The sequence below is a fragment of the Homo sapiens genome, chromosome 5 (genome assembly GCF_000001405.40).
Source record: "Homo sapiens chromosome 5, GRCh38.p14 Primary Assembly".
In the NCBI taxonomy this organism is placed as follows: Eukaryota; Metazoa; Chordata; class Mammalia; order Primates; family Hominidae; genus Homo; species Homo sapiens.
This window is the reverse complement of record NC_000005.10, coordinates 38,908,830-38,932,730: the sequence shown is the minus strand read 5'-3', so window position 1 is coordinate 38,932,730 and position 23,901 is coordinate 38,908,830. Positions and strand designations below refer to the sequence as shown.

The window sequence follows — 23,901 nt, the reverse complement described above, 5'->3', positions numbered from 1 at the left end:
GTTGAAAACCAAAAGATTTCCCCTGACAGAAGAAATCAAAGCTCCAATCACCTATTTCATGGCTGTGGGTGCAAAGATGGCTTTTACTGTGCTATATTTTCCTGAGGAGCTCTAGGAAAGTAGGATTCTGACAGCCCCCACTCTGGGTTAGTCCTTAATAGGTATATGGTATACATACAATTTGCCAACATTTACCTTGAATTTTATTAATGACAGGATGCTGCTCTTGTAAGGGTCAGGGATGTCAGGATAACAGGTCTCCTTGATCCTAGAAAAAAAAGCGAAAATGAGACTGAATTTCACAGTACAGTGGACGAGTTAAGAGCAAGAACTCTGGAGTCAGATTCCTGGCTTCTAATCCTTGCGTTGTAACTTATTAAGCAAGTTACTTAATTCTTCCATGCTTTAATTTCTTATGGCTAAATGGAGATAATTATGGTACTTATAGTGTCCCCATGAGGATTAAATGAATTAATTGATAAAGCACTTAGAACATTGCCAAACATACAGTAAGAGAGATATAAATATTAGCTATTGCTGTTGAAAAAATTTTGTGGTCTATTTTAAATGGTGATTAGTTTCCTCATATAGCCACTTGGAAAACAAAATTGTGAAATAAATTACATACTCTCACCCCAGCCTCCTTTGTTCTTTTCCTTTTTTATACGTTGTTTCATATTATTCAATGTCATTTCTATCTTACTAAATCTCTTTCCAGACTTTTCTCTTACTCTCTTCTTGGATAAAACCTTCCTCACACACTTACCACTGACTTTTCAAGTAGCACATGACCATGATGAGCAAGACGCAGAAAACCATGGGCAGTAGGATATGAATCAGCATCGAGGCTGAACGAGGAAAAAGAAAGGGACATTTTTAATAAGTACTTTTCCCTTCCTCAAAGGAATAAATACAAGTTTATGATTGAAAGTAATTTTACATGTTTATTATTTCTCAAATTATGTATGCAAGTTGTAATATGAATTCTGCCTGACTTCAGGGGAAAAGCCAACCAACCAACTAGCCAACCAACACAGGAAGCCATTTGCCATCAACACCGTGTGTCTCAAATTTGTTACTATCTATCTCTTCTGATAGATTGGATCATGACTTGCTGTATTAAAATTATGCTTTTCCACCCCTGCCAAAACTTCATGGTAGGTGAGAATACTATCCTGCCCCTTGACTTGGGGCTCAGCCATGTGCATTGGCTTGGCCAATGGGCTGTTGGTAATTGTAACGTAAGTGCTTTAAATGTGCATGCATACATCGGCTTGCCCTCTTGTGTTCCTCAGCATGAGAAGTGTGTGCCCCAGGTAGCTGCTGCGACTTCAGCCTTAGCCCTAGAATGAAGATGCGTGAAACAAATCTGAACCTGACTGAAGCTTGGAGTCCAGCTTACCCCAGTCTAGATCAGCCAAGTCTCGGCTGACCTGTAAACCCATGAGCATAAAAAGATAGATTTGTTCTTGTATGCCACGGAGCTTTTGAGGGTGTTTGTTACACATCAAAAATTGACTAGTGCACTCCTTCTAGTTAGCCTCAGATTACATAAATATGTCTTAATCTGGGAAAATGATTACGTTTATTTCTCCAATATGTCAACTGGTGCTTCATTTATTTCAAATGACCATTGTGAAATCTGTTAGAACCAAAATGTAATCACTAATGGTAGGAAACCCTGACAAATAGAGCTGGGAAGGCCACGCAGATAACAAAAAACACTACGAAAACCACAACCTTGCACAAAGGCCATCACAACCTTACACACACACACACACACACACACACACACACACACACACACACAAAATGCTTCTGCAAGGGCATCTTCCCATTAAACCTTGAACTGGCATCACCCTTATTATTAATCTTTGTAGTCAAGAATAATTATTTCAAAACAATTATATAATCCTCCTCATTTTTTTTCCTTTAAAAACCTTTGTCTTCCTTTACCTCCCTGAATATGCACATAGTTTACTATAGTTTATTTTGGCATAAGTATTTCCATTACAATGCTCAGTCCCAAATAAACATCTTTTCTTTCAGAGAGTATCTCTCTGTTATTAGACTGACACTATCTTCCTGTTCCCATTGCTTGCAATTTCCACCAAATAATAATTCAGCTGGGTTGGTAAACATCCCTTTTCACAAATGTAAATTGCTCAGGGAGGGTTTAGGGGGTTAAGTTATTCACATCTACATATGATTCTGTTCAATCCATTTGCCTCCCCTGCCCTCCCCATGCTCCACCTCACATCTGGCTGTCCTGGAAGAAATGGGGCTTGATTTGGGGACAGTGGTGTGGCAGATAATGTTGGAGTTTTGTAAAGAAAAGTGGCCCTGGGTAGATGCACAAGCCCGTGCTATGAGGCAACACAGGGTTCTAGGGAAAAGGACCCACGAAGGTAAGAGAGGGCCAAAACTGGCCTAAAATTAACCCTGACCCTGGAAAAGGGGAAAGAAACTCTCTTTATGAATCTTACTATGGAAAACCTTGCTCTCAAGAACAGTACTTTTGATGATGTAAACCAAAAAGTATCTGAGACAGGTCTCCACCAATTTAGAATTTTCTTTTGCCAACGTGAAGGATATGACTGGAAGAAATAAACAGAATCATAGAAACATTATGTGGTCTGTGCCTTTCTCCAAAGATAATGTTAAAGGGGAAAAGTGGGCTGGAGGAGAAAGGGCTGGAGGAAAAGTGGGCTGTAAGGGAGAGTATGATTATCCACATGTCACAAGAGAAAACGAGGAGACAGGAGAATAGTTAATCATGTATTCATCTCCCAGGAGAGGCTAAGATAAGGTAAATATAGAGTAGCTACCTGTGGAGATATTTAACTTTTACTGTACCTATCTGCTTAGAAGCAAAATGAATTGCAGCTTCTTGCATGAACCAGCTTTCAGCTTATTTTTTTCCTTTGCATAGTGAATTTTATTTTCCTTTCACAATCACTGTATTAGTACACATCTTTAGGTATTTCTTTAGGGTTTATGTAGGCATTTTGGGGGCATATATACCTAGGAATGAAGGCTCTCACATCTAAGGTATATATATGCTCATTTTAGAAGATACTACCAAGGAGTTTTCCAAAATTGCTTGTACCAATTTACTCCCACCAGCAAGGTATGGGAGTTCCAGTTTTTCTACATCCTCATCAACACTTGGTATTTTTCATCTTTTTCATTTCAGCTATTTTCAGGCTAATTTTAAACACAAACTTTTGGAACATAATCTACTTCCATACTCAGGATTGAAAAGTGATTCAGTAATGCCTATTAAATTCAGAAGGAAATGTAGTGCCAAATGTCCAAATATAAAAACACAAATTACAGTTGGTCTGGATACCCCATATGTTTAAACAAACTGTTTACCCTCTCTGTCTCCTAATCCGAGAAAAAGTTAACAAACCAATTTACAAAGAGAAAGGATTATTTTGAAAAATACCAACAGAATAAACATTTATTCACTATTTTGCAATGTCAACATTACATCAATTTTTTGCATTTCTGTTTTTTGCTTGTTTGTTTTTACTGTTTAATCATCCTAGCCTCATTGTAGCACATACAGGTATTTTTTACTCCCATCTAACAATATCTGAGGTACAGTTAATTGGATGCTAGTCACATAATAGTATACCTATTTTTTTTAAAAAAAGTAAAATCTCAGGAAAGTTGCAAATATTTCAAATATTTTCTTTCAAATAATAATATAATCAATAGTCACAAGCCAAGCCAGGGCTAATGAAGTTTAACATAAGGGAGATGAATGAGACTTAGAAAATACATATTTAAAGATAAGTGTGTGTGTGCACATGTGTGTGTGTGTATACCAAGTAAATTCCAAAGGTCGAATAAAACTAACCTGAAAATAAATTTAAAATTAACTCCAACATGCCAAGAGTGCTCAAATAATGTAAATCACTGACACATCTTAATCAGATAAGGGGTTCTGGATTTTGGTTTGGAAACCTAGGGACATGTTTCAGTGTAGTAGTCAACATGCAGTCAGCACCACAACCTGTCTGATATGGTTTGGCTGTGTCCCCACCCAAATTTCATCTCAAATTGTAGCTCCCATAATCCCTACGTGTCATGGGAGGGACCTGGTGGGAGGCAATTGAATCATGGGGGTGGCTACCCCCATGCTGCTGTTCTTGTGATAGTGAGTTCCCACAAGATCTGATGGTTTTATAAGGGGCTTTTCCCCCTTTGCTCGGCACTTCTCTCTCCTGCCGCCATGTGAAGAAGCATGTGTTTGCTTCTCCTCCTGCCATAATTATAAGTTTCGTGAGGCCTCCTCAGCCATGCAGAACCGTGAGCCACTTAAACCTGTTTCCTTTATAAATTACCCAGTATCGGGCAGTTCTTTATAGCAGTGGAGAATGGGCTGATACAGTAAATTGGTACTGAGGGAGTGGGGTGCTGCTTATAAGGATACCCGAAAATGTGGAAGCGACTTTGGAACTGGGTATCAGGCAGAGGCTGGAACAGTTTGGAGGGCTCAGAAGAAGAGAGGAAGATGTGGGAAAGTTTGGAACTTCTTAGAGACTTGGAGGGCTCAGAAGACAGGAAGATGTTGGAAAGTTTGGAACTTCCTAGAGGCTTGTTGAATGGATATGACCAAAATGCTGATAGTGATATGAACAATGAAGTCCAGGCTGAGGTGGAAGTCCAGGCTCAGATGGAGATGAGGAACTTGTTGGGAACTGGAGCAAAGGTGACTCTTGTTATGCTTTAGCAAAGAGACTGGTGGCATTTTGCCCCTGCCCTAGAGATCTGTGGAACGTTGAACTTGAGACAGATGATTTAGGGTATCTGGCAGAAGAAATTTCTACAGAGAAAAGCATTCAAGAGGAAGCAGAGCAAAAAAGTTTAGAAAATTTGCAACCTGATCATGCAATACTAAAGAAAAACCCATTGTTTGAAGAGAAATTCAAGCCAGCTGCAGAAATATGCATAAATAATGCATATTTACAGCCACGTGTATCTGAAAAATGTGCCAAATGTTAATCATTAAGGCAATGGAGAAAATGTCTCCAGGCCATGTCAGAGGTCTTCATGGCCACCCCTCCCATCACAGGCACAGACACCTAGTAGGGAAAAATGGTTTCCTGGGCTGAGCCCAGGGCTGCCCTGCTCTGTGCCGCCTCAGGACATGGTGCCCTACATCCCAGCTGCTTCAGCTCCAGCTGTGGCTAAAAGAGGTCATTGCTTCAGAGGGTGCAAGCCCCAAGCCTTGGCAGCTTCCATGTGATGTTGAGCCTGTGGGTGCACAGAAGTCAAGAATTGAGGTTTGGGAACCTCCGCCTAGATTTCAGAGGACATATGGAAATGCCTGCATGTCCAAGCAGAAGTTTGCTGCAGGGGCAGAGCCCTCATGGAGAACCTCTGCTAGGGCAGTGTGGAAGGGAAATATGGGGCTGGAGCCCCCACAGAGAATCCCCACTGCCTAGTGGAGCTGTGAGAAGAGGGCCACCATCCTCTAGACCCCAGAATGGTATATCCACCAACAGCTTGCACCATGTGCCTAGAAAAGCCAAGACACTCAATGCCAGCCCATGAAAGCAGCCAGAAGGAGTCTGTACCCTGCAAAGCCACAGGGGTGGAACTGTCCAAGACCACAGGAGCCTATCTCTTGCATCAGCATCACCTGAATGTGAGACATGGAGTCAAAGGAGATCATTTTGGAACTTTAAGGTTTAATGACTGCCCTATTGGATTTCGAACTTGCATGGGGCCTGCAGCTCCTTTGTTTTGGCCGATTTCTCCCATTTAGAATGGGTGTATGTACCCAATGCCTGTACTCCCATTGTATCTAGGAAACAACTAACTTGCTTTAAATTTTACAGGCTCATAGGCGGAAGGGATTTGCCTTGTCTCAGATTAGACTTTGGACTTGGACTTTTGGGTTAAAGCTGGAATGAGCTAAGACCTTGGGGGACTGTTGGAAAGGCATAATTGTGTTTTGAAATATGAGGGCATGAGATTTGGAAGGGGCCAGGAGTGGAATGATATGGTTTGGCAGTATCCCCACCCAAATCTCATCTTATATTTCAGCTCCTATATTCCCCATGTGTCCTGGGAGGGACCCCGTGGGATGTAATTGAATCATGGTGGCAGTTACCCCCATGCTGTTCTCATGATAGTAGGTGAGTTCTCACAAGATCTGATGGTTTTATAAGTGGCTTTTCCCCTTTGCTCAGCACTTCACTTCTCTCTCCTTCCGCCATGTTAAGAAGGATGTGTTTGCTTTCCCTTCTGCCATGATTGTAAATTTCCTAAGGCCTCCCCAGCCATGTGGAACTGTGAGTCAATTAAACCTCTTTCCTTTATAAATTACCCCCTCTCAGGCAGTTCTTTATAGTAGTGTGAGAACGGACTAATACACTGCCACTGCAGCCACGTGTATCTGAATCACCAGTCAGGGCACTCCAGGGTCAGCAGTCCAACAGGATGTGCCCATCTCTACAGCTGCAGCTTCAGTGAGGGCACCATACATTAAGGAAAGTTGGTAACTTCAGGCAAGCCTTTTGAATCTATTTGCTTTTCATGGGTGCCTTCCAGGATCTTCTATGATCCCCTCACTGAAGATATTCTTTTCTCCTCTTTCTTCCATCAGTATCTATTTTCTCTCACCACATTCCTGTTTATTGGTTGTCAGGGTTTGCCATGAGAATAAATTTTTCCATCAACCAGTTCTTACTGTTTTTCTCCCTTCCTTCTTACTTCATCTTTCAAGCCAAATGCATTTTTGAAAAGATCTATCTCTCCACCTCACCATTTCCCAACCAAATATGCAAACAGGGAGTTTGTGAGCAAGTATTCCATTCCCCTGCTCAATTCCCACCCCACTGCACCCATCTCTAATTGCCCCTGGAGGCCCTAACAGAGTCAAGAACCAATTCGTTTGCTGCTGAGGGAAATGAGCCAGAGGAAAGCTAGCTGCAGAGAACAATTCTGCTGAGAAAACCAGCACCACTCTTCTCTAGACAGAAGCCTTGTGGCTCTTCTGATGTCAACACTAAAATATGCTATCTGTGTTTTCAAACTACATACAGGATTGTGAGACTGAGTTCCAGAGAATTGTCTCAAGGGCCACTGAGGGAGGCAGAAGGAAGATTTTAGGCCTTAATCAGACAGATTACCTCTATTTGTATCTGTTTTATATAGTGAGAGTCTGTGCAACCCTTTTTTTGTGACAAAAAGGGTTTCATCAAGAGAAAGAGGGAGGTGAGAAGGGGAGAAGAAAGGTTTGAAAATTCCTGATCTAGACAAAGCCTAAGTCAACACTTCTGTAATTTGTTAGTTTCCCAGAAACTCCTAAGGGAAGAACTTTGATTTGGGAAAACTCACAGTGTTCATCCGGAGTCGTGACCTTCGTGAACGTAGCACTGGGGCCTTCACCAGCACTAGTGAATGGAGTGATGAAAAACTCATAGAAGGATTCTGGCTTTAGGTTGTCCACAATCAATGCCTTTTCTTCCGGGTTGTCAATTTTGTATTTGCAACATTCTGAACCATCTGTGATTTTTTAAATGGTTTTTTTTTCAAGGAAAAAAAAGATTTTATTAAAAGTGTTGTAAACATCTTGTGAGAGAGCTGGACACTAATGCTCTTGTTAACTCAGCACCACCAACATGTTTATACCAAACAAAAATCAAATCATAATTTCATCACCATGGGCACACCAGGTAAAATGGTCAGGAGATGGCACAAAAAGCAAAAAATCCACTGAACAAGGGGTACTAGTGATCCAGCCAAAGCATACAAATCTGCAAGAAACAGTAAGAGCTTGCAAGGGGCTTAAAAATAAATTGGAACAATGCTCAATAAAGTGAAAAAAAAAAGAGGAAAGTTTCATAAAGGCCAGGCTTTCTTAAGGAGCTGGTGGTGTTTCAGATGCTTCTAAAAATACCAAGTCATATTGTTTTTTAAGTAAGTTAAAATGCTGCCCTGCCCCCACCATCTTGCTCACCCTACTAATTTGCTTAAGAACACCTTTCCAGTATAAAGCCATGCAAGAAGGGAATTCAGCCTGGCCACAGTCTGAGATGGCAGCCATTATTTTAAATGATTTCAAATAATGAGATCTTGAAAGAATAAATAAACAAATTAAAAATAGATGTCACCTGAAAGAACTGCCTTTTCAAATCGTGGGTGGCACTGCCTCGCCTTGGATTTCAGATAGACATGGTACCCTTGTATAAAACCAGGTTGAGATTCAGTAGAGTAATCTTTCCAACTCAGAGTGAAGGAGTGGGATGTCAATGTATCCACCAGCACGTGAGGGTTGTCTGAAGGAGCTAGGAAAAGAAGTTGGGATAAGAGAAAAGTCATGATTTGGAAACAGTCTCAGAATATTCATGTCAACTAATAGAAGAACCATAGCCAGCTCTGGAGGTTGTAACAGCTTATGCCAAGTTAAGGAGTTTTATCTGTTTCTCTAGAGGATTTGTGCCTTGACATAGTTTATGAGAGCTGTGAAGGAGTTGAGCAATCTTGTTCAAGTCTTGCCTTTTACAGATGAAGAATGGACACCCAGAGACTAAATAACTTGCACAAGCTCACATAGCCAAAAAATAAAAATAAAACAAACTAAACTCTAAAAAAAAGGAGACTTAATTCTGTTCTTGAATTCAAAACAGTGTTTGAGGAAAGACTCAACCAGAGAACCTACTAAAGTGAGGAAGAAGGAAGGAAGTGGAAGAATTATGTTCAAAGAGGCAAGTGGGGGGATTTGATGAACTCTAGTTCCCAGGTTGTGGCAGTGCACACTTATCCAAGTGTCACTGAAAAACAATCCAGGAATGTTTACTTTGAAGGCTTTGCTGAGGCTGTTTTCCCACACACGCTTATGCACACTTGGACCGTGCACACAAGGTCACACACCTCCTGCCTGCTCTGAGCCAACTGTAAACTGTGGATCCACTCCTGCTAAAGGAAGAACCCCTGAGAACTGGTCTGATCTGTGTGAACAATCAAGCACCCAGCTAAAGAAGGGGAATAAGCAACCCCATGGAAGGATCAAAAATCCCCTCCACTGCTGGGGGGACAGTGGTAACATTTCTAGGGGGTGATTTCACAACATGTGTGGAAAGTCTTAAAAATTATGAAAGGAATGAAAAAAAAATTTTAAAAGCTGAAACCCTTTGATTCCAGCATCCTATCTTTAAGACTTCATTTACAAACCATTATTATGGATTTGGACAAAGATTCAGCTAAAATGATGATTATTCACATAGGGTATAAGAGACTGAAAAAAGGAAGAAAGAGAGAGACTTAGCAATGAGAATTAATGAAAATGTTTTGTTTGTATGATTAAAAAATAATTTTAAAAACCCAATTGCTAGAATAAATGGGATACCAAAAGTTGGGTATGGTGCTGACAGCTTCCTAAACCCAAAGCTAGGAATCTATGAATTGTTCTGAACAAGTCTGCACATGGGGCACATTACATGCTTTAAACTTACCAAGTTCCTGAGAGTATCCTGTTTTTTTCTCTAATAAACAAGCAATCCTTTTTGTAGATAACCCATAAATTCTGAAGTCATATCGAACTCCTGGCCTAAAAGCATCTAGGGAAAAAAAGTCAACAGATTTTTAATAACAGAATGATGTTTCCTAATTCTGAAAAGAAAAAGAATGAAAAGGCATGACACGTTGGCTCACGCCTGAAATCCCAGCACTTTGGGAGGCCGAGGCAGGCGGATCACTTGAGGCCAGGAGTTGGAGACCAGCCTGGCCAACATGGTGAAATCCTCTCTCTACTAAAAACAGAAAAATTAGCCAGATTTAATGGCGGGCACCTGTAACCCCAGCTACCGGGGAGGCTGAGGAAGGAGACTCACTTGAACCCAAGAGGCAGAGGTTGCAATGAGCTGAGATCAAGCCACTGCACTCCAGCCTGGGTAACACAGCAACAGTCTGTTCCCCACCACACCCCCCAAAAAAGAATGAAAAATAAATTTGTGCTCCCCTAATAATTGGCTTTCAGGAATTTTGTATTTCATCCCCACGATATTCCCTCCTTCCATGAAGCCTTGGAGTCCTCCATGTTGCAAACACCTGGCCCCACTGTCTTGTCTCCAGCAAAGCCTGCAGGGACTGGCCTCTGCAGTGTTCTTTGAAGCAAGAGTTCTCAACTATGCCTGTATCCATGTGCATACAACTGGGTGCAGAATCAGACCAGACATAGAAAACCAAGCCCTTCTTTGGCTCCAAATCCCCCTCCAGTTATTTATCTTCCCTCTTCCCATTAAAGCCAATAGTCTTGAAAGCTTTGCTTCCACTTCCTCATTTCCCCATTACACCTGTACCTCTGCAATCTCCTTCCACAACCCACCATACCACTGAAATTGGCAGAACCTTGATCACCCTCTGAACAGGGACATTTCCCACACCTTTCCCTGAGCCCAGTAGATGGCGCCACCCACCCCTCCAGCTCAAGCCACACAAACCAGCACTCCTCTGACTGCTAAACTAGCAATCTTCACATTACAAATCCAATGTGGGAGGTAAGAGAACAAGTTCTACATGTTCTATTGAAACTGAAGTTGATGATCGATTCTCATCAACTATATGTCCTAAACATCTTCCAAATGGATGCAAGTCTCTGCTTTTGTAAAAGCTCTCTGGACAACTGTTATAATAATGTCCTTCTGCCATTCGAGACTATGCACTAATTTAAAGAAACAAGTTTATGAAAATCAGTTCCCACCTCATGTGCAGATATTCTCTGCAAAAGTAGATTTAAAGGTCAAGTTTTAGAACATATTCTTGTAACATCTGAACTCCTAACACCCATGCTGGATTTGTCGTTTCAAAATTACTAGCTTAGCACAGTCAAAGTCTGTGAAGTAGTCCAGAAATCCCACTTGAACTTTCTTCAAGGTGAATATAGCAATGCGATGATATGGAAGCTTCTTCTTACCTGTGCTAATGACTGTGCTTGTGGTATTGGGACCTACATTCTTCCACTGGAAATCACCGAGCACATCCTGGGTATGGTCACACCAGTCCACAACATAGCCTATAACATCTCCAGGTTGGGGTTTCCAAGACAGAGAGAATCCACCCTCTGTGCCTGCAATTCTTTCTTCCTCAACCTCTTCTGTATATAAACAAATAGAGCAATGCTCCAGATTTAATTAACTGTAAATTGTTTTAAGTGTGTAAGGTAGAAAGTAAATACATACATGCACTGTATCTAGTAGGTAACAGACCTCCACTTCAATAGTTACAGGTGCTTGGGTGGGGGATGTTTTCATGGGTGAGTTCTTGTCTCTTACTTCCCAGCGAATATTCACACCTGCCCTTCAGATGCCCATCATGTTGACCTTCTGAAGCCCAACCAGACTTCAGCACCTAGGACAGGGGTCAGCAAACTACCACCAGGAGGATGATTCCAGCCTCTGAGGGTTGTTTTCATATGACCCTTGAGCTAAGAATGGTTCTAAGACATTTTAAGGGTTGTAAAAATAAAAATAAACCAACAAAGAAGGCATATAATAAAATATGTAATGGAGACTATATGACCTGCAAAAATGTTTGCTATCTGCCCCTTTACCACAAAATTTTTTGATCCTTAATCTAGAATCTGGTATTGGGTACTGGATCTGCTTCAAAAAATACCTGTTGAATGAATAACTAATGCAGGCTAATTCTCCCACGGTAACATCAGTTGCTCCTGAACTAAATACTGCTTCTGAGATGTGTTACAGGTAGGAATTGAGTAGAAGACAAAAAAGAAGAAAATATTCAGGTATATAAAAAGTTGGGTTATATAAAGATATGCACACAGTTTATGACTAATACTGCCATGTCAATATATTTTATATGTTAAAGTAGGTTTCCTGATGTCTGACAATTGGAAAAAGGATAACATGGCCTCAGGGGACTACCAGTTCTACTGAGTTCCAACAGGGATATACCTTAACCTTGAGGCATGAGAATTTCTCCTCTTTCCACAGACTTACACTAAGAACTGGTTTATTGTTTGTCTGTAATTCACATTTAACTGGGCATCCTGTATTTTACCTGGCAATCCTAATTACAACTGAATACTGGTGTGAAAACCACTGATTCATTTTTATAGGGCATCAAAATATCATCCAGCTAGGGGCACCCAAAGGAATGTGTAGCCCTAGGTATAAGCTAAAAGCCCATGAGGGCTTTATAGATCCCATCCACATGGCTTCCCTGCCTTCCTCCATCAAGCAGACAAATGCCCCTCACATATTAAGGCCGACATTTTTCACTTGACTTATTGATACTTAGTAAAATTTAACTCCAAACCCAGGGTTGAAACTCTTAGAAAGCTGTTTCTTTAAATTGAAAATATGTTTTGAGAGATGGAGGTAGATCAAAGAGTAGGGGAATCTTTTTGTCAGTCATTTACACCCTAGTGTGAACTGGCTTAACCTTACTGGTTTTCTCATAGTACATGAGTGACTTTATACATGCTGGTGATGTAGAAACAAGAAACACTTAAGGATAGCTAGCTGGAGCCTCTCACCAGAAGGTCTAGGCATCTGAAGGCAGGGCACGGGGATGGAGGGTGTGGTAGGAGACCCCAAAATACATAATTGCTCTCAGCAGTGTTGCTTTGAACTGGTCTCTCCCTTCCTCAGAAGAGGCCAGTACCAGCTCCCCGAGGCTGAATGAAATGCCCCCTTTTCCTGTTCGGATCCTAATGAAGTCAGAATATAACTTCTTTCTCTAATATAGTTCTTCAGAAAGCAGAGGTTACACTAAACAACTCCTAAACCAACTTAGGTTGGTTTTTCTTCTATGGCACAATATAGTTTCTTTTCCTCATGTGATATATACTGGGTAGTTCTTTTAAAAACATAAAAATAAAACAAAACAACAACATCCTCTAATCCAACTCAACCCAAATTTAAGCTGAACTTGAATAAACACATATTATAGAACCTACAAGGGTCTGGAAATTTTAATAGCAGGAACTGAAGGGTAATATTATTGCAAGGTTCATGAATGATCCCAGGATGCCACTTGCCAACTACATTATGTATGCCCATGTATGTATCATCTCATAGCATGTAACTGTGGGGTTGACTCTTTTTATGGCTAAGAAGGAAATTAATATCACTATTGATTTGGCATGTAAGGGCATTCCACCTTGTTTGCTCTTTCATAGGCAAGAGATTAGCCAGTTATTATCTTTTATTCTACAAAGTTGGCAGAGTCTGTGGTGAAAGTTGATGCCAGTTCTGATGATCTCTGGAAATGTTCATGGACTCTTTCCAGGTGCAAAGACTGACAACACTTTTTACAAAATAGTAAATGCAATTCCTATTTCACAAGCCACAAAGATCATAAATAGTAACTCCAACTCTCAGTGGTGACTGTTTGTTAGGGTTGCAGTTACTTGAATAAATTTGAGATAATTTCCCATGTATGTTGAAGAATCCCCTGGACAGAAATGTCCTGAGCCATGGCTGAAGTCTCCTTCTCCCCACACTGAGGGGACTGTCCCACTGAAACACGTTGACACACCTGGCCCAAAAGAAAATGACTGTTTAGTGACTAGACATTTTGTCTTCCTAAGTTATTGTTTTCTCAATTTATCCATCACTACTTAATAACGTCATCAACATTTTCCTAGAGAATAAAAACAAAAGAAAATGAAAACAAACTCACTGTTTTCGGGGTCTGCAGAGATGACTATTACAGAAGCAGGAGAAGCACCCACACTGTTGTTGGCTATGACGCAGATTTGGTAGGAACACCTGTCAAGGATTAGTTTTGTGCTGTTGGCTGGTGCTGGAATGGAATGGAGCTCTGAACTGGATGGTTTGTCTAGGTTTTCTACAACTACATTATAGAACAGGATCTTTCCATTGGCATGCAGTTTTGATAATGGCTGAAAAAAATATTGATAAACATTTTTAAATGGGTTTTAATTGAAAGGAATTTGTACAACTCCTTTTTCATCTTTTCTGTCCCTCAACTCCTTTATATACGCACACACCAGAAAATTCAAACAGCTTAATAGAGAAAATAACTCTCTCAACCAACTCTGAAATCAGACATTCAAATCTAACTGAAGGTGAGTAGAGAAGAGGATCATTTGGAGATAAGAGCCTCAAGAGCATTATGTGCCCTGAGAAGAGTGCTCAGGTCAGAATCACAAGGAATAGACTCTTTAACCTGGTGGAAAAAAGAATGTGAGGGGTAGTCAAGGGCAGAAAAGCAATGAGTACAAACAGCACCACCCTGGGACCCTGCAGGAGGAGCCTGGGTACTGGCCTCATTCCACCTCCAGCCATGTTACCCCTATGCAGCCGTACAGGGATTAGCTGCTCTCCATACCCAGAGCCCTCCTCTGGAAGATCCTCAGTTTGCAGAGAAATTCTTGCCCACACAGTCCCAAGCCCACTTCTGGGGTCTGTTCCTCAGGCCTCCCCTCCCCTGGCATGTGTACCACCAGCCCTGAGAGTGGGCTTGGAGTGGCTATCTGCTTGGGGTGTGGACAGAACCCAGACATGCAGACTGGCATGCCCACACGTCTGTGCACAGAGATTCTTGCGGAGTGTGCCAAACTAAAGGTGAAAAAAAAAGTGGGGTAGGTTGAGACCAGAGCCAACTCTCCCAGGATCACCATGTTTCAGTGTGAAACTGACGCATCACAGAGTTCAGAATACAAACCTGGCCTTCCAGGTTGTCATGAAGGTGTATTAGTCAAGATAGAAGGATAAAATTTATTTTATATTACAATTTTTAAGCTTGATTTATAATTTTTAAATATAAATAGTATGACTATTTAAATATGTGTAACTTTTAACTATCATATGTGGTTGTTTACTTACATCTTTGCCCTGGGCCCTGCAAAAGTCAAGCCTGGCCTGAGTTGAAGTTGCAGAGAAGGTTCTACCAATCAGAACTGGCTGTCAGTTGCATCAGCTATCAAAGGAGTGGAGTGGGATTCCTCTACTAGGTAAGAAATTCTATTGGATGAATGTGAAGATCCCTCCCAGTTGGGACACTGAACCAATCCACAGTTCTCCAGAGGAAGACACATTTGTTTCCACAAATGTGACTTTTGGAAACAATCAGACTTTTGGAATCTGCACATCTTACCTTCCAGAATAAGGTCACAGTATGATTTCCTGGCTCCAAGCTCACAATTCTCCAGACATCAGGGGCCTCTGAGGGAGCTGAAATTAACCAAAGAAAAGTTCTTGAGTCACAATATGTATGTAAAGCAATATGCTCAACCTTTTTCTAGGACGGTCAAGGACATGACAATTACCTGTCCAACCTGAGGCTTGCCTCTCCCGTTTTCACTCTCTATGACTTCTACCCACTGGTCCACAGCCACACTGCTCACTCCTCACTAGGTGCACACAGTACAGTGCTTTATAAAAAGGTCAGCTGCCTCTGAAAGCCTTTATAAACATCAAGCCATACAACTACCAAAGAAGTTTGGAATAATTTGTCCATTAGACCAATTCCAGATGAGTTAGGTAAATTTCCCCTTTTTTTGACTTTCTAGGCAGCAGACCTTTGCTACTTCCTTGCCCCATCTGTCATGGATAGAGACACAGTGATGGGGAACCCGCTAGGGGCAGGATGCGTTCTTCCTCAAGTTTCATGATACCCACGGCTGGCCCGCTCACTGGAGTGCTGGTCTCCCTCCACTGGGCAGGCCTCATCCCACTCCTCCTCCCAGCACCTTGCCTGCGCCTGGGTCACCTGCTTGCTGTGGACACTTAAGGCACCTGCAGCACCCAGCATTTCTTCTATTGTGGCTCTCACCATGCTGCTTTAGAATAGTGTGCTTCCTTGTCTCTCTGTCAATAAACCATAGGATCCCTGGGGCCAAGGGTTTTGAAACTCTAGCATCTGCCTCAGGGCCTGGCACTTCGTGAAAGCTCTACAAACCGTTTGAATGAATAAAAACCGAACTTCAAAGGAACTCAGAAAACAACCTGCTTCAATGTCCCAATCTTTTCTTGTCTCCATCCCTCACTCAGAAATCTTTGTAGATGGATTGACTGATTGATTTTGCATCTAAATCTGCATTTGCTCAATCAACTTATCATAAGGAAAGGTCTTTAAATCCAAGCCAACTCTGGGTACCTATGTATTAAACCATTTGGGGGATCTCTTTTACACATAATAATAGCTAATATTTATAGAGGGGTTACTAGATGCCAGCCCAGTTCCAAATGTTTTGCATATATTAACTCATTTAATCCTCATAACAATTCTATGGGGCAGGTATGATTATTTACCCCATTCTCTAGATAAGGAAACTAAGACCCAGAGAGAGTAAGTTAATTTCTCAAATCACCCAGGTGAAAGTAAAAGTGAAGCCAAGATTTGAACTCAAGGTAGTTAGGGTCTGGTCATTCCATTATTCATCTTTAGAAAATGGATGGTCAATTGAAGGCTCAGCTTGCATGACAAGTTCAACAAAATTCTCATTTAAAAAAAATCTCAGCAATGGAAAAATAATGAAATCATTGCAATTTATTTTAAAATCTTAAAAAGGCACACGTTTTAATCATTGATTGATAAAAATATTATGAAAGTCCTATTAAGATGAGTACATCTTTTCGTTTGTAAATTGTTTTGTTGGATTTATGTAATACTCTGTATTCCACATAGAATCAAATTTTCTACTGATACAATTTTGTCATGGTATGAACTTCACAAGAATAGTACAACAAGAAGTAGTCAAAAGAGAATTTAAAACATTCATAAGCCACAAGAAATATCAGGCTTTAACTGATGAAGATATAGATGACCCAATTATAGCACATCCATGGAGACAAACAAGAAAGGGACTCACAGGTATTGATGTCATTCTGCAACTGAGTCCTAACAGCACATCTCATTTTTAAATCCAGACATAAAAAACATCTTTATCTCTCTACTCAATCACATTTTGTGAACGTGCTGCTTCAGCTTTCTGAATTTGAAAATACAACTATAGCATGTCTCATATGACTTCTATTTTTAATGTTTACTTTGAAACTTCCCTTTAATTCTTAAAGATAGCTTGAATATTTTAGCATAGCCCCTAATAAAAATAACTGAATTAAATTCAAGTATCTAATTAAGAGAGTTAGTAGCACTGCTACAAACCTAAATAACTTTTGTGATAACAAAAATCAATTTAAATACAAGATGTGATATAGAGTTGTTAGTTTCATAATCTAATGGTTTAATAGTCCAGATTCCATTTTAGAGTAATGATATAAAATCCAAATTACTTATCAGTAGGTTCCTTAACTTTACATGAATTATTTTTCTTCCAACTCTTCCAACTTTTCTTCCAACTCTCAGTTTGCCAAATCACAAACTTTATTTTAATCGAGAAAAACATCCTTTTTGAAAGGTGCAAATCAGTATTTTACCAGTCTACTATCATTGATAGGGTTTACTATATTTCAAAATACATATCCCAGTGCTGTCAAATTTTTGAGAAATTATGATTTCATTAAATTAGAGTTGGTTATGAAAACATAAATTCAAAGTCCATCACCTGAGTGCTACTTTAACCTCCAGACTTCTTTGTGCATGCTATTATGTTCTTGAAAGTAATTTAGCATATTTCCATATAACTCATTCATGTGAAACCATAGTCAAATACTTCATCATTCTGTAGTTAATAATCAAATTTAGTGAATCATATCCCTCCCTATTACATTTTACTTTCCTTTGAAATACTTTTAAAAATACTTCCTAGAAACTCTCTTTTTATAATTTTATTTAGAGTCAGGGAGTACATGTGCATGTTTGTTACATGGGTATATTGTGCAATGCTGAGGTTTGGAATATGAATGATCCCATCACCCAAACAGTGGGCATAGAACCCAACAGTTAGTTTTTCAACGCTTGCCCCCTCCCTTCCTTCCCCTTCTAGTAGTCCCCAGTGTCTATTGTTTCTATCTTTATTTTCATGAATACCCAATGTTCAGTTCCCACTTAAAAGTGAGAACATGCAGTATTGGATTTTCTGTTCCTGCATTAATTCGCTTAGGATAATGGCCTCCAGCTACATCCATGTTGCTGGGAGGAACATTATTTCATTATTTATTCCATGGTGTATATGTACCATATTTTCTTTGTCCAATCCATCATTGATGGGCACCTAGGTAGAGTCCATGTCTTTGCTATGGTGAATAGTGCTGTGATGAACATATGCGTGTTGGTAGAATGATTTATTTTCCTTTGAATATATACCCAGTAATGGGATTGCTGGGTGGAACAGTAGCTCTGTTTTGAGAAATCTCCAAACTGCTTTTTACGAAGGTTGAACTAATTTATATTCCCTCCAACAGTGTATAAGTGTTCCCTTTTCCCTGCAGCTTCCCCAGAATCTGTTGCTTTTTGACTTTTTAGTAATAGCCATTTTGACTTGTGTCCTCATTAGAAAAGGCAATAGATGCACAGAGACGCTCAAGAGAATACCCTGTGAGCAGACATAGATGACCATCTACTAGCCAAAGAGAGTGGCCTCTGAGAAACAACCTCAGCCAACAGCTTGATGTCAGATTTCTAGCCTCCATAATTATGAGACACTAAATTTCTCTTGTTAAAGTCCTTCAGTCTGTGGTACTGTGTTATTAAAGCCCTAGAAAACTGTTACAACCTATTAATACACATGGAATATATTCCCTGCATCATGGTTGAAATGAAACCAGAGTTTTATTATGTCAGGCTCCACTTGCATTTGAGATCTGAAGCACTGTGGAAAATGGCCTCCCTTAAGAAATATTATGAAGACATGTGAAGAAGGCTCCTGCCCTGATGGGGTTACAGGGATGAGTTCTGTGAGATGACACATTGCAAACAAATGCGTACAGTAGCTTAACCTTCCCCCTTTTTGTGTAACACCTCCTTCTGTGCAAAAACGTTCTTGTAAGAACATTGGCTTTTAATACTTACAGAAGGTCTAGCAGGACAGTGGTGCTGACTGCTACAGAAGCTACCTGGGGTAGCTAAAGAATAAAAACAGTAACAACATGCAAAGATTTTTAAAAATAGCCTTTCTGATTGGTGTGAGATGGTGTCTCATTGTGATTTTGATATGACTTTTTCTGATGATTGGTGATGTTGAGCATTTTTTAATGTTTTTTGGCTGCTTGTATGTCTTCAGAACTCTCTGTTCATGTCTTTCACCCATTTTTTTTTTTTTTTTTGAGATGGAGTCTCACTCTGTCGTCCAGGCTGGAGTGCAGTGGCACGACCTCTGCTCACTGCAAGCTCCGCCTCCTGGGTTCATGCCTTTCTTCCACCTCAGCCTCTTGAGTAGCTGGGACTATAGGCAGCCACCACCACGCCTGGCTGATTTTTTTCTATTTTTAGTAGAGACGGGGTTTCACCACGTTAGCCAGGATGGTCTCAATCTCCTGAACTCGTGATTCTCCTGCCTCGGCCTCCCAAAGTGCTGGGATTACAGGCATGAGCCACCGCGCCTGGCCCTTTTGCCCACTTTTTAATGGGGTTGTTTGCTTTCTGCTTGTTGAATTGTTTAAGTTCCTTATAGATGCTGGATATTAGGTGTTTGTCAGGTGCATAGTTTACAAATAGTTTCTCACATTCTGTAGGTTGTTGCTTACTCTTTTGATAGTATCTTTTGTGGTTCAGTAGCTCTTTAGTTTAATTAGGTCTGACTTGTCAATTTTTGTTTTTGTTGCAATTTCTTTTGAAGACTTAGTCATAAATTATTTCCCAAGGCCAATGTCCAGAATGGTGTTTCCTAGGTTTTCTTCTAGGATTCCTATAGTTTGAGGTCTTACATTTAAATCTGTAATTCATCTCGAGTTAATTTTTTCTACATGGTGAAAGGTACAGGTCTAGCTTCATTCTTCCACACATAGCTAGCCAGCTATCCCAGCACCATCTATTATATTAGGAGTCCTTTCCCCATTGCTTATTTTTGTTGACTTTGTAGAAGATCAGATGGCTGTAGGTGTGTAGTTTTGTTTTTGGGTTCTCTATTCTGCTTCATTGGTCTATGTGACTGTTTTTATACTGGTACCATGATGTTTTGGTTACTGTAATCTTGTAGTATAGTTTGAACTGGGGTAATGTGCTGCCTATTGCTTTGTCCTTTTTGCTTAGAAATGCTTTGTCTATATAGGCTCTTTTTTGTTTCCATATCAATTTTTTGAATAGTTTTTTTCTATTTCTGTGAAAAATAACATTGATAGTTTGATAGAAATAGCATTGAATCTGTAAATTGCTTTGGGGAGTCAGTGATTTTAATGATATTGATTCTTCCAATCTGTGAGCACGGAATATTTTTCTATTTCTTTGTGTCACCTATGATTTCTTTCAGCAGTGTTTTCTAGTTCTCCTTGTAGAGATCTTTCACCTCCTTGGTTAAATGTATTACTAGATATTTTTGTGTATGTGAGTATCGAAAGTAGGATTGCGTTCTTGACTTGGGTCTCAGCTTGAATCTTATTGGTGTATAGAAATACTACTGATTTTTGTACATCGATCTTGTATCCTGAAACTTTGCTGACTTTTTTCTTTTAATCAGATCTAGGAGCTTTTATGCAGAGACTATGGGGTTTTCTAGGTATACAATCATATCACCTGCAAACAAAGATAGTTTGACTTCTGACTTCCTCTTTTTCTATTTGGATGCTTTTTTTTTTCTTTCTCTTGTCTGATTGCTCTGGCTAGGACTTCCAATATTATATTGAATAGGAGTGGTGAGAGTGGACATCCTTGTCTTATTCCAGTTCTCAAGTGGAATGCTTCCAGCTTCTGCCCATTTAGTATGATGTTGGCTGTGGATTTGTCATAGATCTAGGCTCTTATTTTGAGGTATGCTCCTTCAACATGTAGTTTGTTGAGAGTTTTTAACATGAATGGATATTGAATTTCATCAAAAGCTTTTTCTGCATATATTGAGATGATTGTGTGGTTTTTGTTTTTAGTTCGGTTTATGTGATGAATCACATTTAGTGATTTGCGTAGGCTGACACAACCTTGCATCCCAGGGATAAAGCTTACTTGATTGTGGTGGATTAGCTTTTTAATGTGCTGCTGGATCTGGATTGCTAGTATTTTGTTGAGGATTTTTGCATCTATGTTCATCAAGGATATTGACCTGAAGTTTTCTCTTTTTGTTGTGTCTCTGACAGGTTTTAGTGTCAGAATGATGCTGGCCTCACAGAATGAGTTAGGGAGGAGTCCCCCAACTCAGTTTTTTTGGAATAGTTTCCGTAGGAATGGTACCAGCTCTTTATAACTCTGACAGAATTTGGCTGTGAATGCATCTGGTCCTGGGCTTTCTCTGGTTCCTAGGCTTTTTGTTACTGATTCAGTTTCAGATCCCACTATTGGTCTGTCCAGGGATTCAATTTCTTCCTGGTTCAATCTTGAGAGGCTGTATGTTTCCAGGCTGTATGTTTTCTAGTTTGTGTCCAAAAAGGTGCTCACAGTAATCTCTGAGAGTTTTTGTGTTTCTATGGGGTCAAGTGGTAATGTCCTCTAACATTTCTGATTGTGTTTATTTGGATCTTCTTTTATTCTTTATTAGTCTAGGTCGTGATCTATGAAACTTATTCTTCTTAATAACTCCTGGATTCGTTGATCTTTTGTATAGTTTTTTGCATCTCAATTTCCTTCAGTTCAGTTCTAATTTTGGTTATTTCTTGTCTTCTGACAGCTTTGGTGTTGGTTTGTTCTTGTTTCTCTACTTCTTTGAGGTGTGATGTTGGGTTGTTAATTTGAGATCTTTGTCACCCAGGCTGGAGTGTAGTGATGCAATCTCAGCTCACCGCAACCTCCACCTCCCAGGTTCCAGCAATTCTCCTGCCTCAGCCTCCCGACTGGCTGGGACTACAGGCACGTGCCACCACGCCTGGCTAATTTTTGTATTTTTTAGTAGAGATGGGGTTTCACCATATTGGCCAAGCTGGTCTCAAACTCCTGACCTCGTGATCTGCCCACGTTGGCCTCCCAAAGTGCTGGGATTACAGGTGTGAGCTACCGCACCCAGCCAAAACTTTACTCTTAACATGGCTTTGCTGTGTCTCAGAGATCCTGGTATATTGTTATCTTTCTTCTCATTAATTTCAAATAATTTCTTAATTTCTGCCTTAATTTCATTGTTTACCCAAAAGTCTTTCAGGAGCAGGTTAATTTCCATGTAATCGGGTGGTTTTGAGTAATTTTCTTCGTACTCATTTCTATTTTTATTGTGCTGTTGCCTGAGAGTGTGTTTGGTATTATTTCGGGTTTTCTTTTAATTTGCTGAGGATTGTTTTATGTCTAATTGTGAAGTCAGTTTTAGAGTATATGCCATGTGCAGATGAGAATAATGTATATTTGTTTTGGGGTGGAGAGTTCTGTAAGCCCATTTTGTCAAGTGTCAAGTTGAGGTCCTTACTATCTTTGTTAGTTTTCTGCCCTGATAATTCATGTAATACTGTCAGCAAAATGTTGAAGTCTCCTACTATTATTATGTGGCTATCTAAGTCTCTTTGTAAGTCTCTAAGAACTTACTTTATGAATCTGTGCGCTCTTGTGTTAGGTGCATATATATTTAGGATAGTTAAGTCTTCTTGTTGAATTGAACTCTTTACCATTATGTAATGCCCTTCTTTGTCTTTTCTGATCATTATTGGTTTAAAATAAATTTTGACAGAAATTGGAATACCAATCCCTGCTTTTTTCTGTTTTGTTTGGTTGGTAGATTTTTCTGCATCCCTTTACTTTGAGCCTGTGGGTGTCACTGCGTGTGATATAGGTCTCCTGTAGACAGCATACAGTTGGATCTTGCTTCTTTCTCCAACTTGCCACTCTGTGCCTTTTAATTGGGGCATGTAACCTGTGCGCATTCAAGTTTAATACTGGTATGTGTGGATTTGATCCTGTCATTGTCTTGTTAGCTGGTTATTATGCAGATTTGATTGCGTGGTTGCTTTATACTGTCAATGGTCTATTACTTAAGTCTGTTTTTGTGGTGGTTGGTAATGGACTTCCTTTTTCATATTTGGCACTTCCTTAAGGATCTCCTCTAAGGCAGGTCTAATGGTAGTGAATTCCGTTAGCATTTGCTTGTCTGAAAAGGATCTTATTTCTCATTCACTTATGAAGCTTAGTTTGGCTAGATATGAAATTCTTGGTTGGAATTTCTTTTAAGAATGTTCAGTACAGGCCCCAATCTCTTTTGGCTTGTAGCATTTCTGATGAAAAGTCCACTGTTAGCGTGATGGGGTTCCCTTTGTAGGTGACCCGCCCTGTCTCCCTAGCTGCCTTTAACATTTTTTCTTTCATTTCAACCTTGAAGAATCTGATGACTATGTCTTGGAGACATGGTGTCTTTGGGATGGTCATCTTGTATAGTACCTCACAGGAGTTCTCTGCATTTCCTGAATTTGAATGTTGTCCTCTCCAGTGAGGCTGGGGAAATTTTTGTGAATAATATCCTCAAATATGTTTTCCAAGTTGCTTGCCTTCTCTGCCTCTCTTTCAAGAACACCAATGAGTGGCTGAGTTGTTCTCTTTACATAATAATTTTTATTTTTTTCTTTATTTTTGTCTGACTGAGTTATATTGAAGAACTGGTCTTTGAGCTGAGACTCTTTCCTCAGCTTGCATTTGTATTATGAAATTCTTGAAATGAATTATTCAGCTCTATCAGATCAGTTTGATCCTTTCTTTAAATGGACATTTTGTCTTTTATCTCCTGTGTCATTTTGTTGTATTCCTTAGATTCCTCGGATTGGGTTTTCACTTTCTCTTGGATGTTGATGATCTTTGTTTCTATCCATATTCTGAATTCTAATTCTGTCATTTTGAACAGGTTAAGAACCATTGCTAGGATGCTAGTGTGGTCTTTGGAGGTAAGAAGATACTCTGGCTTTTTGAGTTGCCACTGAGTTCTTGCATTCTTTC

At 40.0% G+C, this 23,901-nt stretch overlaps 1 protein-coding gene across 16 annotated transcripts in view, besides 1 other annotated feature; it reads right to left on the bottom strand.

Moving 5' to 3' along the window:
* Positions 1 to 23,901, bottom strand: part of OSMR (oncostatin M receptor) — a 99,568-nt gene that overhangs the window by 12,849 nt on the left and 62,818 nt on the right. For 12 of the 16 annotated variants that reach the window (XR_925661.1, XR_007058659.1, XR_007058660.1 and 9 more), the window contains exons 10-17: positions 15,109 to 15,185; positions 13,669 to 13,891; positions 10,937 to 11,116; positions 9,477 to 9,581; positions 8,136 to 8,309; positions 7,360 to 7,527; positions 767 to 848; positions 196 to 268 (exon numbers count right to left, since the gene is read on the bottom strand). Coding sequence is in view for 13 of the 16 variants with exons in the window: in XM_011514161.3 (XP_011512463.1) it covers positions 196 to 268; positions 767 to 848; positions 7,360 to 7,527; positions 8,136 to 8,309; positions 9,477 to 9,581; positions 10,937 to 11,116; positions 13,669 to 13,891; positions 15,109 to 15,185 (1,082 nt within the window). In the remaining 3 variants the exon portion in view is untranslated. Of the gene's footprint in view, positions 1 to 195; positions 269 to 766; positions 849 to 7,359; positions 7,528 to 8,135; positions 8,310 to 9,476; positions 9,582 to 10,936; positions 11,117 to 13,173; positions 13,525 to 13,668; positions 13,892 to 15,108; positions 15,186 to 23,901 lie in introns of those variants that run through there. The other 4 variants (XM_005248386.3, XM_005248387.3, XM_047417873.1 and 1 more) reach the window with 1 other exon arrangement.
* Positions 15,578 to 16,107: an enhancer, noted in NCBI's record as "NANOG hESC enhancer chr5:38916726-38917255 (GRCh37/hg19 assembly coordinates)". NCBI's record gives its function as "activates a minimal SCP1, AML or CMV promoter by ChIP-STARR-seq in naive H9 embryonic stem cells {active_cell/tissue: H9 hESC(naive)}" and the evidence as "EXISTENCE:reporter gene assay evidence [ECO:0000049][PMID:30033119]".